Below are 22,188 nucleotides of genomic sequence, written 5' to 3'. Positions count from 1 at the left end.
GCCTGCAACTGTGTAGTTGTTAGTACATTTACTAAATATTTTAGGATGATTGAGGAGGAATTTTCAGACAGGGACCAAACTGCCATCATACTGTTTTCTATTTGTCTCATGTATTCTTTATTTGTCTCCTTACCATTTTTTATTCTTTTCCAGCTTCTTTTGAAATCATGTAGCATTTTAATTTCTCATTTTCCCCCTGAATTGACATGTTAGTGATATACTTTTTTTTACTATACCCTTAATTGCTGTCTATAAGATGTCAACATACAACCGTGGCTTATTAAAATAATATATTAGTACTATTACAACTTATTAAAAATGCAAATATGACTCTTTAACTTCATTTTCTGTCCTCTGCCTTTTACGTTTTTGTTTCTATATACTTATTATCTATATGGTGTATTTACAATACATATGCATACAGTCAATATCCATTTATACTTGTGCACATATTTTCTCTTTTTATTCCTTTCTTCATCTCCATTTTTTCCTCAGATTACTTTCCTTCAACCAGAAGTATTTGTTTCAATATTTTCTTTAGTAAAAAAAGTACTAATATTGATTTTTTTCAGTTTTTCTTTGTTTGAAATTACATACACACATATACACTAATGTATATATATACACACACACATATATGATGTTTATAAGTATAAATGAATGTTTACTATAAACATAAGTTTTATCTAAAAAATTAACAGCCATGATAGCAGTGCAAAATGCAGATTTCTCAACAGATACAGTGGAAGCCAGTTACAATAAAATCAGCGATTTGTCTTATTTTTGGTCCTTTGATGATAATTTATCTTTCATTCTTTTATCTTTGTATTTGGTTTCTAATAGTATTACTATGGCATATCTAGGCATACTTTCTTTTGCATTCATCTGGCTAATAATGTACAACACTTCTTGGATCTATGACTTGATGTTTGTTGGGTTTCATATTTTGGAAGCTTTTCAACCATTTTTGCTTCGAATGTTGTTTGTTTCTTGTTTCCTTTTAAATCTTCTCCAGTTAGGCCTACAATTTGAAGAATATTAGAACTTTCTCTGTGCCTTATTTGTTTCTTACATTCATTTTTTTCATTCTTTCTTTTCTTCTCCGTATTCAATCTGAATATTTTCTTCTCATTTATATTCCATTTCAGTAATTTCTTCTTCAGCTTTGTTTAATTTGCTGTTAATCTAATTTATTGAGTTCTTAATTTCAGTTATTATATTTTGAGTTAAAGTGTTTCTATGATTTCTAAAAGATAGGCTTCAGTTCTCTGCCACAATTCTCTATCATATTATAAATTCTTGAATACTTATTAGAATTATTTTAGATCCCATGTCTGACAACTCCAATATCCAGATCTCCAGTTAGTCTGTTTTATGTATTTTCCTTCCTGGTATGCCTACGAAATTTAAATAATATGTTAGACACCTGGTATGAAAATAATTATAGATGTAATTTGAGACTCTGAATAATACTGTCCTTCTCAGGTGGGATTTCTCTTTGGTGTTATCAAACAATAAGCGTAGAGATAACTTAAATTAAGCTAATCAAGTGCTTACCTGATATGAGGTTTAGCCTACTTTACTTGTAAGGGCTTTACTTTTTTCTCTTCATCCTTACTTTTTGTATTCTGCAGTCATTCAGAGGTCCTAACTAAAACCTAAAATGTTTACCAGGGTTGCTCCTCCTTGCTGAGACCTGAATTCAAACTATTTCCACTCCAGCCTTGCTAGGCTCCTGGAAGATCTGATGGTTTTGGCTTCTCAGTTGCTCATACAGAATTGGCAAATGCCTCAAAAAGAAAAGTTCTGCTGACTGTTGGGCTCACCACTTTATTTTTTTCTCCTGCATAGTATATTGGCTGCTGAAATACTCATTAACCAAATTTCTGAGACTATTAGGTTTTCATTAATATTTTATCCAACTAATATAGTCATTGTCAGTGAGAGGTTTGTTGTGAACAAGCTAGTCAGCCATTATTGAAAGATTATATAATAAGGAAATTAAATTTAAAAATACCAATTGTGCAATTTAGTTTAAATTGTAAAAATATATTCATTTACCATACTACTTGAACTTGTTATATTCCATTATATATGTATAGTAGCATACATACTATTCAGATTACCAATTTGAATTACAAAGAAAGAATAAAAAGATTATCTGCCTCATGAAAAATATTGTATGGAAAAAATGACTATTCCAAATGGTTTTTGGTATGAAGAACAAGTTATAAAGGTAATGAATATATATTTTAAATAATGTTAAAAGTAATATTATGTCCAATTTTAGTATCTGCTCTTTGAAGAACAATGTACTATTTACTCCCTCTTTATGTGTAATATACTTCAATAAAATTTTGATAGATGAATAAAATAGTTTAATAAAATTTGTTAAAGTACTTCCTTTATAATATTTTACCTCTATTGTCATAATGTATATCAAATCTTTTCATTTTATTAGCATAAAGTTGGTAAAAGTATTTTCTTATTATTATTTACCTTTCTTTTCAATCTTATCTTTTGCATTGCCTCTTTCTGATATGGGTACATTCTCTTTCTCTTTCTCTCTCTATAAGTCTTCCTACAGTTTATCACTTTACTTAGAAGTATCTTGTAGGCTTGTTTATGCTCTTGACTGTATGTGTATGTTTGTATGTGCTTATGCATATGGATGATGTGCTAGCAACTGATTTCTATTCTTTGAAAAAATTCTTCTCTACTTTTTCTACATTAGCATTTTAATTTTCTTTAAATATTTAGCTCACTTGATTTTAGTCTTTTTAAAAATTAAGTGCTTTAAGACTATACCTGCCCATTTCTCTATTGTTTTGCTTTAAATGTATGTCTTATAAGCTGCTTATATGATTACTCTCTAGCTTTAATTAGATGAATTTACCTCTAATCATGTTTGATCTATTATTTTTTATTTTTTATTTTTTGAGATGGAGTCTTGCTCTGTCACCCAGGCTGGAGTGCAGTGGCGCGATCTCGACTTACTGCAAGCTCTGTCTCCTGGGTTCATGCAGTTCTCCTACCTCAGCCTCCCGAGTAGCTGGGACTACAGGTGCCCGCTACTGTGCCCGGCTAATTTTTTTTTTGTATTTTTAGTAGAGATGGGGTTTCACCGCATTAGCCAGGATGGTCTCGATCTCCTGACCTCGTGATCTGCCTGCCCCGGCCTCCCAAAGTGCTGGGATTACAGGCGTGAGCCACCTTGCCCAGCGTTTGATCTATTACTATGTTTATCCTACTTTCTGCCAAATCTATCAGCCTCACTCACCGTTTTACATTTCCTATTTTTAAGGCTGTTTATGCCTTTTCAGCATTCTTATTTTATATTTAAATCAGTACTATTGTTTAGAGCAAAATATATATTTTAAAGAATGAATTCAGTTATCTTGAGAAAAAGATTGTTTAATTGTTACACCATGATTCTTCAAATAACATGTACCAGGCATATTACCATTCTCAAGATTCTTTTTGTTGATGTAAAGCATCTAACAGATGAGGTGAAGGTAGGGAGTTCCAAAGACTTGTAATTTTTACTTGAGGTTAAAGATTTAATCATGAACACAATAAAGTTAGAAACTTAAAAGGATAGGTATTTGACATGGTTTGGCTGTGTCCCCAACCCAAATCTCACTTGAATTGTAGCTCCCATAATTTCCACACGTTGTGGGAGGGACCTGGTGGGAGATAATTGAATCATAGGGGTGTTCCCCGCATACTGTTCTTGTGGTAGTGAATAAGTCTCATGAGATCTGATGGCTTTATAAGGGGTTTCCCCTTTCGCTTGGCTCTCATTCTCTCTCGCCTGCCGCCATGTAAGATGAGCCTTTCACCTTCCACCATGATTGTGAGGCCTCCCTAGCCATGTGGAACTGTGAATCCATTAAAGTTCTTTTTATTTATAATTTAGCTAGTCTCAGGTATGCCTTTATCAGCAGCGTGAACATGGACTAATATAGTATTTGTGGTCACAGACTTAATAAGTGAGCTGCCACAAAAAATAATAAGCCCCTTTTATGACCCTATAGATTATGGTCAGAATGGAGTAAAAGTCCAGTGAATTTCACTGAAAACCAAATATTGGATGGAAGGTCCACCAGGACATTGAATAAACTGCTGAATGGTGTCAGGATTTGGGATGAAGGGAATGATGGTGAAATAAGTTCTAATGGCCTTGATATATGAAGGATACCAATCATCAAACAGGGATAGAGACTATATGGCCAAATCACATAGATTCCAAAAGCAGGGACTTTTAAATTAGTAAAAAGAAGTGGGAGTCTTCAAGAAGTAATGGAAATTAAAGATGCCATCCTTAATTCTAGTCTCTAAGCAAAGAATAGGAGACTAAGCAGGCTCTCCTTGAGAGGGTTACAGGAGAGGTGCCTTCTTCTCAAGGGTAATTGAGACCTCATCTAAGGCCAGTAGATAATAGGACTGTTCAGTAAAGAGGCTGAGAATGTGTTAGAATGTTTTAGGTGTGAAGCTGAGTTTATAGCTGGAAAAATAAAGAAGACTTGAATCTTACTATAACAGGAAAGTCAGATAACTACGTAGGGTTCTACAGAAGGAGTAGATGATTCTTGGGAATAATATATTGGGAAATGACTAAAGAAAGCTGGACTGTAAAATAAGGTGGCTTATCAAGTGAGTAAATCTCAGTAGTCTTGAGGTGGCTGTGAGTCTTTTTGGGTATCTCAGCCTCAGCCAAGTCCTGGGTTTATTGCATTTTAAGAGAGTCCTTATCTCTGTAGCATGAAGAATCTAGCTTTTAAAGCCACCTTTGATTTGACTTGACTTACATGCACTTTTGAAGGAAAGCTTAAGGCTGTTCACATTTTGATTCCTGAAGGGAAATGGCTGACTAGTGCATGCTGAGAACAAGGCCAGCATCCCAGGGGAGTGCGGCTTTGTCTCTGTGCCATTAGCAAGTGTGTTCCTTGGTGTTTCATAAGAGATATAGCCATGTTATACCCTCCTTATTTTTTATTTTTAATCAAGTCACATATATTATTTAGTATGAGTTGCTTATTATAAGGACTTTTGTAGCTATACAGCTACCACTACTGAACGCTCAATATGAACCCGGCACTCCCTGTTTACATCCAGTAGCTCATTTAATCCTTACAATAATCCATTTTACAGATTTGGTAACTGTGGTTCAGAAAGGTTAAAAAAATGTGCCTATGATCAACAGCTAGTAAGCTAGAATTTTAACTCAAGCAGTTCTAGTTCTAAAGCCTGCAATTTTTGCCATGATACCAGTGCTTCCTAAACTTTTCTTGTGATAAGAGTCACCTAAATTGTTTATTAAATATAGAGGAAATTTTGATTCAGTAGCTCTGAGTTGGAGCCCAATTATCTTTATTTCTACTTAACCCAATTTTAGTAAACACTGTGTTGGATGGTGCTGCTACTCCTCTACCCCTGTATCTGCTGTCAAAGGGTCATGTTTCCTCTAATCTGTCTTTCCAGAGCTCCTGGCTCCTGCCCATGAAAAAAAGACTGCTATGATTTTTGACTTCCCTTCTATCCTTTTTGAGGTTGAGACTAGAGTTCTGCCTGGAATAGAATTGCATTGGATACAAAAGGAAAAACAACTTGGTTTCCAATAAATTTCCTGTTCCCTTCAATCTTCAATACTTTCTGTCCTTGGATTTCTGTTGGCTCCTGTATTTCTTGCTTTCTCAGATTCCAGCTGGCTTTCACATCTTTCCCTCCCCCTACTCTGTGTTCTTGTTTTTTTCATTAGCTCTGAGCTCCTCCAAGTCTTCTGGCTTTCTTTATGCTTATTCACTCTGTGCTGTAACTTTCCCTGACCCTTTCTTCTTTCTGTGTCTATCCCCTTCCAAGTTTAGCTGTTTGTGTGTGTGTGTGTGTGTGTTTCATTTTACTTCCCCTAATCAACCAAGGGGCTAGACCGTGCACACCCATAACTTAGTGGGTTACTCTCATATGACCCATGGTTTTTAAAAGATATAAAGCAAAATTGTGTATTTGGAGGCTATCATTTTTATAGAAATTCAGATTTGAAAGGGATTGTCCAGCCTGCTTAAAGCCCTAATAATGAAAACAAAGTTTAGAATCCCAGTTTCCCACCACTGTTCTGACTATGTATTGTTAGTCTACGTAGTAGTTGCAAATTATCAGCCTAGGTGAGCCCAATATAACCCCTGAAATATTTTGTTTAGTTGAAACTGCAGTTAAAATATAAGTAAACTTGAATGCCTTTAAACAGAATTTGCACTATTAATTAATATATTTAGCTTCCTCAGGAATCAAGATTATCTTCCTGTGATTATAGATGTTTGGTTTTATGATCTTTCACATGAACAATTACATAGGGATATTTAAATGAGACCATTTCTGAACACTGGATTATTTTTCTGCAGGGTGGAGCCTAATCATTCATTATCATTCAACAAGCAGGAAATTATCTTTAAATTGCCAGAAGGTTGCCATCTTCCCTTTTGGACAATCTCCCTTTTTCTAAGTGATCAGAATTTAGTCCTAAATGAAAACTCAGGTGTTTTTAATTTCTTCTCTCAGATATAGCCATATTTATAAGCCAATTTTTACATTTTTTCTTATAGAAAATAATACCAATTAGTAAATGTTGTTCCCAAAACATTCATTCCAAAACCAGACCATAAAATAATTTTATGTGAAGGTCATTTTTAGAATTATTTAGATTCATGGAGGTTTTTATTTTTAAAATGTTTCTCCCCCCATATAGTTTATATGACTGCCAAGTAATAACAAGGATAGAAAACCTCTGAAAATTAAATAAGTAAATAAACAAAAGCTGTGGTTTCTAAACAATAATGAAGGGACCGGAGCTGTGAGTTCCAAACACATTTTTAATACAAGGAACTGAGGTTTACTTTCCTGGTTGAGAGAGCAGAAGAGCTGGGTTCTGGCACTCCGACGCTAGCAGGGCTGTAAGTATCACTGTGGAAGAGGAGGGACAAAGTGTTATGAGAAACAGAACGCCTAGAGCTTCTATCTCAAGGGCATGACCCAGACCACATTTTCATTCTTCATTGCTGTGTTCCTTTGAAAGTTCAGTTCTCCATTCTGCTGTTTATTTAGATCATGTTAATTTCTTTTCCCTGCAATTTTTTCTTGCAATTCATTTAAAAACACAAGCCTATAAACTTGTTTTAATTCAGCTTAATTCAATTAGTGATAACAATAGTAATCTTTGTGGTGAAGGTGGATGTGAGGGTCAGGTGGGATTTGGATAGAGAGAAGGCATTCCTGTTCAGAGTAAGATGATTGATGATTTTGGTGGAATTGACAGAGCAAAATCATGGGAGTTATTCATTTAGTTGTGTGTGTGTGTGTATACCTATAAAACTATAACTATTATCTATATTCATCCATCTATCTAATCTATCACTTTACAAAAATAATTTTAAGACCCCATAATCTTATAAATTGTTTTATACATTTTTTTTCAAATTTGATGAGTTTGGAGGTTCACTCACTTTTTACAAGTATTAAGACTATTTCTTTTGTATCCTTCACCTCTCCCAATGGCCAACCTCAATACTTTTGAAGTACTTGGGATACCCATCCTTGTTTTCTTCATGTTCCCTTTTACAATATGGTTGAATAGAATGAAATATCTCTTTATTAAATGTATAATATTAGCACTGGTATGTTGAGGTCTTTTTAAGGGATGTGGCTATATTTTATTTAGTTTTCTGTTATCCCAAGGACATAAACACTTAGGTCTTCATTAAATGTTTATAGAAGTAAATATAACCAACATTTCTGGTATTAAACTTTAGGTGATTTTAGCCAAATTAACTGCCTTTCTGATTGGCAAAATATGTATTTAATTACATCAAATATATCTTTGAGTAGTAAAATTAGTAGCTTTAGTTCTTATTTATTCTTTTTCATGTTAGACTATAATGCCTACTTTTAAATCCTGGTGGTGTTTTTAGAAAATTTGAAAGCCTATTTGTTCCTTTTCTTGGCTACTGTTGTAAAGATCAGAGAAATTAGATTCCAACTTTTCATTTCTTTTCCATATCTGTGTTTCTATTAAGTTAATTCACACAGTGCACAATATGCATGTTCACATGACTCTATTTTACAGGAGAAGGAGTAGAAACATTGAAGGATGTAATGATCCCCTCAGGGTTAAGCAGCTTCTCTGTTGCAATGTCTAAGCTATGGTCTCCGGTTTAGGATTCAGTGTTCGGGCTCTTTTTTCCACCAATAGTAAGTGCCTCAAATGTCACCTTACACTTATAACTTTCCAAGTCACGCTTCCTTGATTTTGTGAAGTAGAGAAATACAGATGGCAGAAAACTTCAACTACATAAAAACGCCTTTAACACAAGTTTTATTCTATGAAATCTGCATTTCATAAAGTCTTTTTGGTGAACTTTATTAAGAAGCAATAGGGTCTAGGAAGCTTGGCAAACAATGAGGCAGGAAGCCCCAAAGAGAACATGTCTGTCAGACATTTTTCCTTCTGAGTTTTCCTTCCAAATGTTTTTGGATCTTGAAGGAAGTGGAGTGGCTCTCTGCCACCACTTTCATACATCTGTAACCCACTGGGTGTACAGAGTCTGGCATTCACTTTTTAAATTCTCTACTCAATTTCATATTTATTTCACTGTGAAATAGAAACTGATCATAGGTTAATGTTGAAGTCAAAATATGAATCTTATTTTTGTTAGACACAATTTCCATTTTTGAGAATTTTGATGTAAGGGCTGATAACTCCTTAATTTTTAAAATGATATGAGACAGTTCAAACCTTGCATTTTATAGAAAACTGTGGACCTGGTCAAATGTTAAAGCTGAGAGTAATTTAGAACTCTGCTTGCCTAGGTTTTAGGACTGTGTCTAAAAGACAATTTCAAGACCTTGGAGAAACAGATATAGTTACTCAGGGTTTCACTCATGAATGTCTACTATCACTTAGCCCCCATTCCCTTATGACCGTATTTTAATATTTAATTTAATTCTGCTAAATGTATGTTCTAGAAAATATTGAAAGGAAAACTTGAGCTAAAAAAGATGGAACATAAAGCTTGCATAAATACTCATCTCTAGAGAGCTGGATCCCTTAAATCTACTTGCTCTTTGAAGAATTTGTACAGATGTTGACCTTTTGATGGGAAAGATATAGTGATAATTTATTAAATAAAATGTCAATCATTTGTCTTAATTAAAAAGTGTTATATAAGGGCAGTAGTATTATTTTAACATACTTGCTGTCAATTTGCAACTTACATCACATGGGACAAATGAAATAATACACAATATACAAAATACTACATTAACCATTAATAGAGTATTATTAATAGGAATCTGGAAAATTATATGATTAGAATAATACTAACTCCTCTTTACCAAGTAGCAAAATAATTTCAGTGACTTTGCTGAAGGCTTTACATAATTTTTGAACTCTTAGAGTTTTGCAAAGAAGATCCTGTTATTCTCACTTTCAATATAAGGAAATGGAGGCTCAGAGAGTTAATAAAACCCACTCTAGGCCACTCACCTGGTAGAGGTACTGGACTTTAACTTACACTAGGTACCAAAGCGTGAATGTTTTTCACTGCATAATGTCAGTCTATTGACTAGTAGGAACTTAGGTTATAATAATACAATTATTTATCTAGTACTCATTGGAAGATAACTTTTTTCTTTTAATATATTAATTAAGTTCTAGATTAAGCTATCACTTTAAGGAAACAAATTGTAGTTTGCTACAAATCCTTAGGATGAAGTAGCTCAACTTCTATCATTAATTCATGTTGAGACCCAACATTCACAGGCTGAGGTGGAAAAACCTGAATGAATCACTTTTCTCTCAGAGACATGTTATTCAGACTCTGTAAAGTTATTCCATAGTGGTTTTTTTTTTTTTGAAAACTTTCATGACCTTCTCCTTTTGTTCTGTACATGCCACACCACCAAAACTCTTGTAAGCTTTATAGGCTATTTCTGATACATGCATCCTTTCTTAGTTCTTTAGAAAGTAGCTCAAAATCAAAGCATGTACCATTGACTCAAAGTCATCAAAAAGATCAAATTTGTGTAAAATGTATTACTGCATTTATACCAAATATTGTGTAATGTAAAATTCACATACATAATGAAAATTCTTGGATAACTTCTGTTGGGAAATATATTTACTTTGCTTCAAACCACTGAATATTTAATCTTGTTTATAAGAGACCATCTGAAGCCATAGTGTGTAAAGTATAATGCAATAAATGTAATAAGAACACCAACATGGCACATGTATACATATGTAACAAACCTGCACATTGTGCACATGTACCCTAAAACTTAAAGTATAATAAAAAAAGGAAAAAGAAAACCTCAGTCACCTAAAAGATGCTGAGGTGCTATTTTGAGGTTAATGAAAATCTTGGTTACTAAGATATGAGTTGAGACATATAAAACAATAATTTTCCATCGTTTTCACAAGAAACATAAAAGTAAAGATACTGCAACAAATTATACATGATTGATCAGAGAATAAAGAAGATAATGTATGAAAAAAATAATGACAAGGCAGTTGTCCTCATACCCACAACCCCACCCATAAGATAAGAGCTTCAGTATATTTTCATTTAGGAAATGAGGAGTCTCAGGAGCCCAGAGCCAGTCACACTGTGACTGAACACTTGAACTTGAATTTATGCTATCACTGAATGCACTTTCATGAGGCTTTGCTGCCTTTCCATTTCTGCTTAGCATTTCAAAAAACTGCACGTGCTGAATGTTGAGGTAGCCAGAAGTTTTCAATGCCCTGTTTCAACAGCTCCTCATTCCTCCTCTCCAAAGGAGCTTCAGTCTGTGATGCTGATGCTGCACCATGGACCTCTCAGGAAGCCCTGATCCCCATCATATTTGAGGGCACCTCTCCCTCTTTTACTAAAGGTGAGAATAGGAGAAGCCTAACAACTTCTCAAACTGTTTGAAAGGAGAATAAAATATGATCCTTGTCATTAATTTTGTATGAACTCTTATTTAGCTAGTTTTGATGCAGCCATATGTAAACTTTGGTATCAGGTTCTTTGATTATTCAAACCACATGTGAAAACTTTCTTCTGTCTTCAGATTCATAGTGTGCTTGGAAACATTTACTATTAATCAGCAGGGACAGAAGAAAGTGAATGCTGGGAACACTTTCACAAAGTTTAAAATATTTAAAATAGGCTGAATTATACTATAAAATAATGATATTTCACTAATTCCCAGGAGTGAAAAATAAGTGTGAAAAATTAAATTTATGCATAATCAATAAAACATAGAATTTCCATATACAGTAGAAATAATAGGAATTGAAAACCAAAAAAACTGGGCATATCTTACACAGTTTTTCTATCTGGACTGCCATTGCAGCAGAACATAATTATATTTGGTCTATAGGGTGTATGTTTTATTTTTTACATTTTGGCTTTAATTCCTCCCACCCCTTGCCACCCAAGCACATGCCAATACTTCTTAGATCACTAATTTATAATTTCTTAGTTATCAACTAAACATTTGAATACTTTCCGAGTGTTTATAAAATTTAGTTGTTATAATTTTCATAAGAGCAAACACTTATTGCTTATAGACTTGTTCTTGTAAATATGTTTTTATATATCACCGTGTGTGCATATACACATAGCCACTGAAATTGACACTATCCATATCCAAATATATTTGTCAGTATATGAATGTGTCTTTATGTATGTAGGTTTATGTATATGAATATATATATTTATATATGGACATATTTACTATTGTTGGGTAAATGGTAGTATATCAAAGCATTTTTTTTTCTTGGAGTTAGAGCTCTTAAGGGGAAGTAATGAGTTGGCCAAAGAGAAATTAGGAACTGCAGCAATTGAGGACATTTGTGTATGAGATTGGTATAATGAGAACTGAAAGAAACCACTGAAAATTGGGTATGTATGAGAAAGCATTGATAAGGTAGACTCTCCACTATCCTGCACTGTTTCATCAGCCTTGTAGTTGATCGCTTAGCCTGTTCTACTCTTGTCTTTGAGTGTCCTTGTGACTGTAAAACAGTACCTCAAGTAAGTTTTCCAGTGACCATTTTAAGTTTCTAAATTTCTTCTTAAGTAGCTTTGGACAGTAAAACATAGTCTTACTATTACTGGACAAAATCCATGTAAGTCAGCTGTTGATGTTTTCTCTCCACAAGAACTGAAAGGAGACCGTTCCAGGGCAGGGCAACTGGTGGTGGCAACAGATGTTGAGGCCTTTACCAAACAATCATCTCTCATTTTTTTCGAAGTACTCAGCGTTAAAAATAATGTCTCTGTGTGTGTGTTTCTTTCAGTACCCTGTAATACATGTAGATGTTCCTGATATTGGTACTTCTAAAATACAACTGGAAACTTAAAGAAGGATAGAAAAATTTAAATTTAGTCAATCAACTAAATTATCCCAACACACTGTATATTCTAAACAAATAGTATGTAATGTTTATCAAAATTATTACTTCCCAGAAGATTCTCTTATTAATAAAAACTTGGAATATATCTAAACTACATTATCTTACAAAAATCATCTTTAAAACTTTGATCCTTTTCATCCTACAATCTCAGGAAATTTGGGTTCCTCATCTAAAAGAAGAAAATATATAAACTACATTAGAGGCTTAGTTCACTTATAACCTGTTTGTTAACTATTCCTTTGAGGGGAAGTTGAAATCAACCACTGTGGTTTATTATTTAATAGAAATTTAAAATGACTTATGAATTTTGTAAGGAAATTTTATAGACTTGTTTGAGAACATTTGTGTTATAGTTTATAATTTCTTCCATCATTTAGTTTATCGTATGCTGAGAAGACCTACCTGGAATGGTCCAAGTGAAGAAAGATAAATCATTTTCACTCAAAAATGAAAGAGTGGTATGAAATGAAATGAAATAAAATGAAAGAAGAAATTAGAAAATGCTCTTCAAACTATGGAATTAGAATGGATAGTAATATAAAAATTGGAATCTAAATTTTTATATGTGCTGCATTATACTGATAGAAGAGTTGTTCAAATCAATTTTACAGCTGATGATAAACTGTTATTTAGACATAATCATATACTTTTTTTAAGTTGGCTTTTAAGTGAGAGCTATGGTTTTCAAATACTGCTCCTTGGATCAGCGGCATCACCATCATCTGTGAGCTGGTTAGAAATGCAAATTCATGGACCCAGTCTAACCTAATGAATTATAATCTCTGGAGAGGGATCCCAGGAAATGGCTTTAACAGGTTCTACAGGGGATTCATATGCACATTAAAGTTTGAGAACCACTGATCTAAAAGTCCATGGCTGAAGGGCCTTATGATCTATATAGCAAACAGCTGGGAATTAGCAGATTGGGTTTCTTTTCTCAGTTTTACTTGTAGGGCCCTTATTTCCTTCTTTTAGATAAGGAATCTAAATTTCCTGAGATTGTAGGACAAAAAGGATCAATGTTTTAAAGATGATTTTTGTAAGATAATGTAGTTTAGATATATTCCAAGTTGTTATTAATATGAGAATCTTCTGGGAAGAAATAATTTTGATAAACATTACATACTATTTGTTTATAATATATAGTATGTTGGGATATTTTAGTGAATTGACTAAATAATGCTGCTGAAATGAACTGTTAATATACAGAATAATATTAAACATAATTGAACAACCCGATGAATTGTGTTAGAGATTAGTTTTCCAAATAGAGGCTTAGTTCACTTATAACCTGTTTGTTAACTATTCCTTTGAGGGGAAATTGAAATCAACCACTGTGGTTTATTTTTTACTAGAGATTGAAAAGAAAAACATTGATTTATTGTTTAAGATGGCTGATAAAGGTTGCATCCAAGTTTAGCAGAAGTGTGCAAATTTTTTTCTTTGTTTTGGTGTTTCAGTCTGCAGATGTTAGCTGTTTTTTGTGAGGAAATAATGGTGTTAGCTATGAGTTTTCTTGGAAAGAAAGAGCTTAAAAGCTTTGGTGTGCTGGAATCACAGTCTGCACAGCCAAATGAACATGGATGGAATGTTAGGTGAAGCCCATGGGGAGTCATTCAACAGCAGCATCTGGAAGGAAACAATAAGTGATTGGAAGGTTTACTTTTCAGGCAAATGATTAAGAGGCGATTAAATGAAGGTGTTAGGATGTGAGGGAGGGAAGGAAGCACTGAAGGTGTATATATAATATGGAACAGAGGGATTATGGAAAAGACTTAACAGAATGAACTACAGATCACAGCTGAACTTATAAAAAACTGAAATTGGAATTTGGACAGAACAGCTTATAGGTATCACATGAAACAGAACATGAGATTCATATAATGCAGAACATACTGGGAAGCATTTTTCTGGAATAGTAAAGGACAGTGATGATGTTTAGTTATTCAGAGCCACTAGGCGTCATTTCCTAGAGTTGCAAAGACATCCTGCTATTACACCTTTATAGTTTTGCTCTAGTTATATTGGCCCTACTTTAAAGTCCTAAGAAAACGCTGGCCTTTGGAAATGGAAATCCAAGGCTTTGATCAAGTGAGTGATTTTGCTTTAGAAGTTTGATAACTTACTTATACTGCAGCAGTGTTGATTTAAGTTACTTTGAACAAAAATTTTGTTTTACTCTTCTTGTGAACAATCCTGTCTTCTGGCTCATTTATCTTGCCCAATGACACTTTCCACTCTCAATTGTGAATGAACGAATGAATTAGTGAATACAGGAATGAATGTATATATTAACAAAGCTCTATGCTTAGATGATATAAGAAGTAGTTTATTTTTTCCTTAAAGGTTCATGTTTATTTTAAAAACAAAATGAAGTTTAACTCTGAATATATGCTTTTCTTCTTGATGCTAGACATTTCAGCATCTGGAAAAGTGAGAAATTACAGAGAAAGGTAAGGCAGCATTATGGAAGCCAGTGTTCTTCTCTAGCCCCAGTCCTTCATAATCATCCCTGAGAGGTCATTTAATTTAAATGTATGGAGATTTTGCAAGCATAAGATTCAATCTCTGCACATCGAAGAATTAGATTTAATTAGGCAGTATGTCTAAACTCTGTAACACACAACCCCATATTCTTTGTGGCTTATAATAATTGCAGGTGAATTTTTGCTCAAGTCCAGTGTGAATGATCTGGTCATTCCAGGACCCACGCTCCTTCTTGTGCCCCTGCTCTCCTCTAGGTCATTTCCATTTTGCTGGGAAAAGAGACCATAGGAGGAAACATCCACTTCCTACCACTTCACTCAGAAAGTAACATGACTTTGCTTCACTCCATTGTCCAGAAATAACTTCAATGGTCACACTCAGATGTGGGGATGGCAGCAGAGTTTTACCTATTTATGTTCATAGTAGTCTCTGCCAGATAGACTTAACCTTCTGGTCAAATCTCTAGGAAGGCTCCTCTTTTTCTTGATTATAAGGAAATGTTAAGCAAATTGGGCACATTTAGAAACAAACAAATTTGGGCAAATTAAATAAAGGACTATATTTGTAGTATTTGCTCTACACTAAAACTTAGGGGAGCAAAACGTTTTCGTGGACTTTTTTTGGCGGGAACAAAAAGTCTCATTTAATTTAATTTCAATAACTCTCCTCCTGTCCAGCCTTGCTGCTTATCTGTCTCTTTAGACTGGCGTTCCCTTAGGGTGATGGTTTCATTAAGTGCCTCTGAGAAGTCAAAATGTGTCTGCTAAAATGTGTCTTAGGGTTGGATCCATAGCTAAATGAAAGGTATGGAAATGCCTACTTTCCCAAAATGGCTACCTTGGGGTGGAAATCAGATTTAGATAACCAAAATCATAGTCCTGGCAGATTATGAACAAGGTTAGATAAATTATATTGAGATTTGGAAGGAGTAGCAGTTTGGATACTTCTGGTCATGGTGGAATCATTAAGGGATAGAAGGAAAATTGTTTTAAAGAGCCAAGGAGCAGCTCTTGGGGTAGCATGGTTGAAAGCAAAGTTCCTTTTTCACATGTTTGCCCAGAGCTTACCCTCTGGAAAAGAAAGTGGAAAAAGCTCAGTCTCCAGGATGGCCCATGTATGGGACTAAGTGATTCTTGGAGCAGTGGCTCTGCTTATTTGTGATTGTTATTGGTCATCATATTCACATGGAAGGACTATGAGATCTAGAAGCAGAGCCAGAGACAGTGATCTTGTTCTGTCACGGTGAAAGCTATGGATTCTGATAGAGCTGGAATGGAAGTGTAAAATCATTAAGTCTGTATTCTTTCAGAGTAAATTTATATAGTAAATTTAAGTGGGACAATCAAGTAATTTATGGTCCTAACAAGGACCATATGAGAGAATATGGGGATAGGATTAATTACCCTCTGAAAACAGGTATAAACCAGGACCACCTCAAACAAACAGAGATGTATAACCACCTTACTTTTAAAAAGTGATAGTGCATTCATCTAACGATAACCCACAAGTATTTAATGGCCCTCATTTTAAGAAGCTTTCATCCTCAACCTATAGTTTAAACTTAATCCTATGTTAAATAAAGTTTGACAGAAAAATTAACCTTAGTAGGGTAACCCTTTGCACATTTAAGTTATAAATTTGCATGTTAGTTTTCTATCCTTCTGGTTATGCATTTCCAGTATGTTTTAGCCTTGCTTGTCCTACCTATAAGATGTGCTTTAATCATTTTGCGGACCTTTCCTAATTCCCTTTCTCCATTTAAATGGAGCCTGAAGCATGACAGGGTTCTGTAGCTAGTTTTCAACCAAACCTGAGTAAGGCACCAGTATTTTTGACAGACCTAAACCTAAACTTTTATTTAAGTATCCTGTTTCTCACTTGTTCAGCTTGAGGATAGAAGGTTGTGGAACAAATTAGGCACAGCCTGCAAGTACATGAAGCACTTTTAAGTACAGTACGGGCACCAGCTGTACTCTATACGGGCAACGTAATTTATTGCTAACCCCTTTCCCCCTTGTATACGGAAAACATTTAAGCAGGGCTAGATTTAGGTTTACATGGAATGAGCAAATACACACATGATGTGATTTAAGAAGGATTAGAAATTCAGTGGCCCCAGACCACCCCTCACCAGCCTGCTCACATTCCCAACATTAGAGACACCTCTGGGGTTCAAAATATGGTGTCTCTAAAATGAAATAGGTCACCTGGAAAGGAAAGTATAATAAAGCCGGTAGTAACCTCATCAGCTGGGTACAGAGCCCTAAAGAAACAAAATACAAGTTTTAATTAGAATCGGGGCTGGGAAAGGTCAGTGTGTTAGAAAGCGAAGCCAAGTGAGGGGTCAGTGAGTGAGAAGCAAACTAGATATGGCTGAGAGCAGAGCTGGGGTTGCTGATGGCAAGCACTGCCCAGGAGCACAGACGCGCTGCCAGGCAACCAGAAGTGCAGTTATTTTGGCGCACCAGCCTGATGTTAGATGCTACAGGCAGGAAAGCAAAATAAGTTAGTGTCTGGCTTAAAGGCTCATCCCCTTAAGCAGGATCAGATTAAAGACAACCATATACTTTAAAGCTTAGTGGCTGGAAAAATATACGAATAAATCTTCGTGTAAGACTATGTAGTATAAATTAGTGTCTGTAGATGAATTCTCAGTTTGGGGGTTCTTGGAAGTAAAATGGAGAGAGCAAAATATTGCTATCATTAGGGTGATTGAATCTAACTTTATAAAGTGTGAGAAAGCTTCTAGGAAAATATTTAGCAGTATTCTGGGGGAAGGGAGGAAAGTGTTTAACTGAGAAGCAGGTTTTGAATACATTTAACAATTTACTTTACTTTTTATTACATTTGGGACTGTTTCCCTCTCGTAAGTATTCTGACTTTCTATGCATTTTACATCAAACTTCCAGGAGAAATCAAGATGTAAGGTACGCATCTGCCCTGCCCAGCCTGGGAGTCAGGAGACTTATTTTGTCAGGGTGAAAAGTTAATGTACTCTCAGCGTCTCCACTTGGCCCTCGTACCCAAAAGATCCTAATCTAATCAGCTGTCATCTCTCGTCTAGATTATTTCTATGAACTCCTAATTTTTAGTCTCCTTGTTTTTGCCCTGGCATTTTTCAGTCTATTCTCTATAAAATCCCGAGTGAGCATAGTCCAATGTACCTCAGATCATATCATCCCCCTGCTCCCGAGCCCACTCTCTAGTGGCTTTCCATCTGCCTGGGAACAAAAATCTTTACCCAGGCCCTCTTTACACTTCCAATACCAATTTGCTATTTCCTTACTCCTTGCTCACTCTTCTCCATCTAACACTGGTCTTCTGGTTCTTGCTAGAACAGTTAACACCCTGGGCACATTTCCCTTGATCAACTCACAGAACATTGTGCTGGCTGTCCCCTTGAATAGAAGGCTGTTCCTCAGGATGTCTGTATAGCTTTGCAGTCATCCCCACCACTTATTTCATTTTATTCTTTGCTCAAAACACAATTCTTACATAAAATGGCAACCTATTTCTTATTCCCTTAGTTCCTCTCCTCTTTACTTGATTTCTTTGTTTTTATAACACTTATACTATATATTTTAATTATTATTGTTTTTTGCTATTGTCTGTAAGTTTGTGAAGACAGGGACTTTTGTGTGTCCTGTTCACTGCTGTCTGCCAGGCCTCATCAAATAAAGTAATGATTTGATGAGCTTTTTAATAGCTTATCAATAGTCACAGGTAAGTTGATGCTGCTAACAATTATTGCAACTTTTCTCCTTCCAGTTTAGGGAACCCCCGCAAAGATCCTGCATACTGGCCTTCAGGGTCAAAAATCTTTATTATGGCCAGTAATACCAATGGAAATGTTCAACTCTACCTCATCCTGCCCAAAAGAACCCCCACAACAGAAACATGTGTATTCCGTTAGACCATGGGACCTACTGTTTAAAAGAGCAGTGATCCAGGCATTCAATCTTCCTTTTGTCGAAATTTCCTCACCAAATGCAGCTCCCATTCCAAGTGTTTGTGAAGGCTTCCCTTGAATAACTAATATGCAAATAATGATTCTATTTGTCTTCCCCAGAGTGTCAAGACACACCATGTATAGTGAATTCTTGTTAGTTTTCAAAGCCATAATATGAATATGAACATCCTTTATTAAGTGGCTGACAAAAAGTTCATCGCTTCTTTGAAATCTGATTGGATGAATTGTACCCATTTATTTATTCCATAAGTGTTTACTGAGTGTGTGCTATACAACAGGATCGGTTCTAAAGATTGGGACACAGCAGTGAACCCAACAAAATGAAGCGCCCTCAAAGGGCTCTTAGTTGAAGAGAAGATACAGGAAATAGACAAACAAATAGATGCATATATAACATGCTGATGATGAGTGCTAGAAGCATAATAAAGAGTAAGGGGAGTAGAGAGTGGAGTTTCCTTTTTGTTGTGGGATCGTTGTTGTTGTTGTTGTTGACTTTTTGATATTTTATGGAGTATTTTTAAGGAGTAGAGCCCCTGTAGGCAGTGAGGAAGTGAGCCACAGATATATATAGGGGAAGAACAGTCCAACAGGGGCAAATGCAAATGCTCAGGTGTTCAAGAAATGGCAAATAATTCAGTGTGGCTTCAACAGAGGCAAAGGATGAGTGGGAGAAGGCATCATAAAGGTGGTAAGATGTAAGTTCATGGGGCCTCCAGGGCCATGGCAAAGACTTTGGATTTTTCTCTGAGGGAAATGGAAAGTTATAGAGGATATTGAACAGAGAAGTGATGTGATTTAGTTGATGTTTTCAAAGTATTAGGAAGGCTGCTTTCTGCCTTGCAGAGGAGGTGGCAAGAGTGGAAGTAGAGAGATTGCTTATAATGTTCTTGCAGTTATCCAAGTAAGAAATAATTATTTTAAAGATAGAACATGATCTGCTGATAGATCTGATATAGGGTATGAGAAGAAGAGAGGAATCAAAGATGAGTTCATGTGTATTTCCAAAGAACAGGAAGTCTGTGGGAGAACAGAATGTAGAGGAATGGATTAAGTATCAGTTTTAGAACAAACGCCTTAGACCTGGGCAAGGAGGACCCCTTCCCTGGCCATGGTGCCTAAAGGGGTCCTGTGTATTGGCATAGCTTCCTCTAAATGCCTAAGTCCCCCTCTACTGCTTGGATTGTTCTCAGCATATTTCATTGCCCTTATAATTTGAATGTCCCAAATATTATGGTTTCTGAAAATTCTGATACATTTTGATGTCAAGTTTTTTTCATTGAATTAACTATAGTGGCAATTAGAATCACTAATGTACCCCAAGAATGATGGCTAAATGAATAACTGGGTTGCTTAAAGGAATCGTGAAGTCTCTTTTGCTTGAGGGTGTAGGTCAATTCAAACCTTATCCTGTGATGTGAATGTCTAACTATTCATCTGCCAGCTCCATATTCTGCAAGTGGATCCACAATTTAAAAAATTTTAGATCTTTTTACACCCCAAAACTATGTTTTGAAGTTACAAAGAAACTCCCTGGGGTGAAAGAAGAAATTAAAGCCTAGCTTGTGAAGAAGATAGGACTTTTTTGATACTCTTGCCTCTAAGCATATGATGCCAATCAGAATTATTAATGTATTTAATTTGCTTTTTACATTAGTATTTTTTTCCATGAAAACATTTCTAACAAGTAACTAGCTGTGCCCCCTGTATTCACTTATGGCATTATTGAGCCAGGTTTTGAATACGAGCTCTCATTTATCCTCATGTTGAAGTGAGTGCCCCTCTGTTGCCTCTCAAAGGTTCAAACTGAGGTTGACATTGCCAAGTGGAACAGGATGGGTGGAGTTGATGTTGTCAGCACTGGAGGTGGATAAAAATGTTGGCAGGTTCCAAAATGGGATAATGTCTCCAAAGTGTTTTGAGCTCCTTGCTGAAAGAACTTGAATAATTTCCAGGTATTATTTTGATTGTGGCAAGAGCTGTGTAAGGTAATCTGCTCTACTATCAACAATGATTCCTTTCATTGCAAATTTTAAACAAGTAGTTATATTTTAAAATGATAAATGGAATAATTTAAGTTACCATTTTTGCAAAATATCAGAAAAAAATGTCCCATGTCTTCAAGTTAGCCTTACAAAAAGGGAAGCAACAAACATTGATGAAGTATTAACTCATCAATGTGCTAATGCTTTATATACACATTCTCATTTAATCCTTAAAACAGACTTATGGGCTAAATGCTATTATTATTCCCACTTTTAACAGAGGAGAATGAGGAAGACTACATTATTTTCTCATGTTTTCTCATCAGTACATGATAGAGCTAGATTGTTTGTCTCTAGAGTTTTTCATCACCAGTCTGGATGCCCTACTATACCATCATTTTTTTTTCTTTGGAGACGGAGTCTCCTTCTGTCACCCAGGCTGGAGTTTGGTGGCCTGATTTCGATTCACCACAACCTCCGCCTCCTGGGTTCAAGCAATTCTCCTGCCTCAACCTCCCGAGTAGCTGGGATTACAGGCATGCACCACCATGCCCTGCTAGTTACATACATACATACATACACACACACACACACACACACGTATATATGTAAATACATGTATATATATACATATATGTGTGTGTATGTGTGTGTGTGTGTGTGTGTGTGTATGTATATATATATATATAGAGAGAGAGAGAGAGAGAGATGGAGTTTTGCTCTTGTTGCCCAGGCTGGAGTGCAATGGCACGATCTCGGCTCACTGCAATCTTCTCCTCCCGGATTCAAGTGATTCTCCTGCCTAAGCCTCCTGAGTAGCTGGGATTACAGGCACGTGCCACAGTGACCAGCTAATTTTTTGTATTTTTAGTAGAAACGGGGTTGCACCATGTTAGCCAGGCTGGTCTTGAACTCTTGACCTCAGGTGATCCAGCCGCCTTGGCCTCCCAAATTGCTGGGATTACAGGTGTGAGCCACCACGCCCGGCATATACCATCATTTTTAAAACTTTTGTAAGATTTCCTTCAGTAGAGCTATTGGAAACACAGCTGCTAAATAAACTAATGCTTTATTTTAGGAATATTTTAACTAGGGTATCTCCTTCAAAATTAGTCTCTGTATCCAAATAGGCTTTCTTTGACCAAATTCTAGCACAGGGTCCTACACACATTAAATGTCCACTCAGTAGTAAGTGGATGAATAAATAAACAAAAAATAATTTTCTGTACCTATTATTTGTATAATGGTCATCACATATATACATACAGCACTATATGTGGCTTTACCAC

General features: G+C 35.5%; 1 protein-coding gene across 9 annotated transcripts in view; it reads left to right on the top strand.

Moving 5' to 3' along the window:
* Positions 1-22,188, top strand: part of HMGCLL1 (3-hydroxy-3-methylglutaryl-CoA lyase like 1) — a 244,547-nt gene that overhangs the window by 104,172 nt on the left and 118,187 nt on the right. The window contains exon 2 of one of the 9 annotated variants that reach the window (NM_001287746.2): positions 10,834-10,929. The exons of the other annotated variants lie outside the window; for them this stretch is intronic. The gene's annotated coding sequence lies outside the window, so the exon portion shown is untranslated. The remainder of the gene's footprint in view (positions 1-10,833; positions 10,930-22,188) is intronic. 9 annotated transcript variants of the gene reach the window in all.

This window comes from Homo sapiens, chromosome 6 (assembly GCF_000001405.40).
Source record: "Homo sapiens chromosome 6, GRCh38.p14 Primary Assembly".
NCBI lineage: Eukaryota > Metazoa > Chordata > Mammalia > Primates > Hominidae > Homo > Homo sapiens.
The sequence above is the reverse complement of the archived record's forward strand: the minus strand, read 5'-3'. Positions and strand labels throughout refer to the sequence as shown.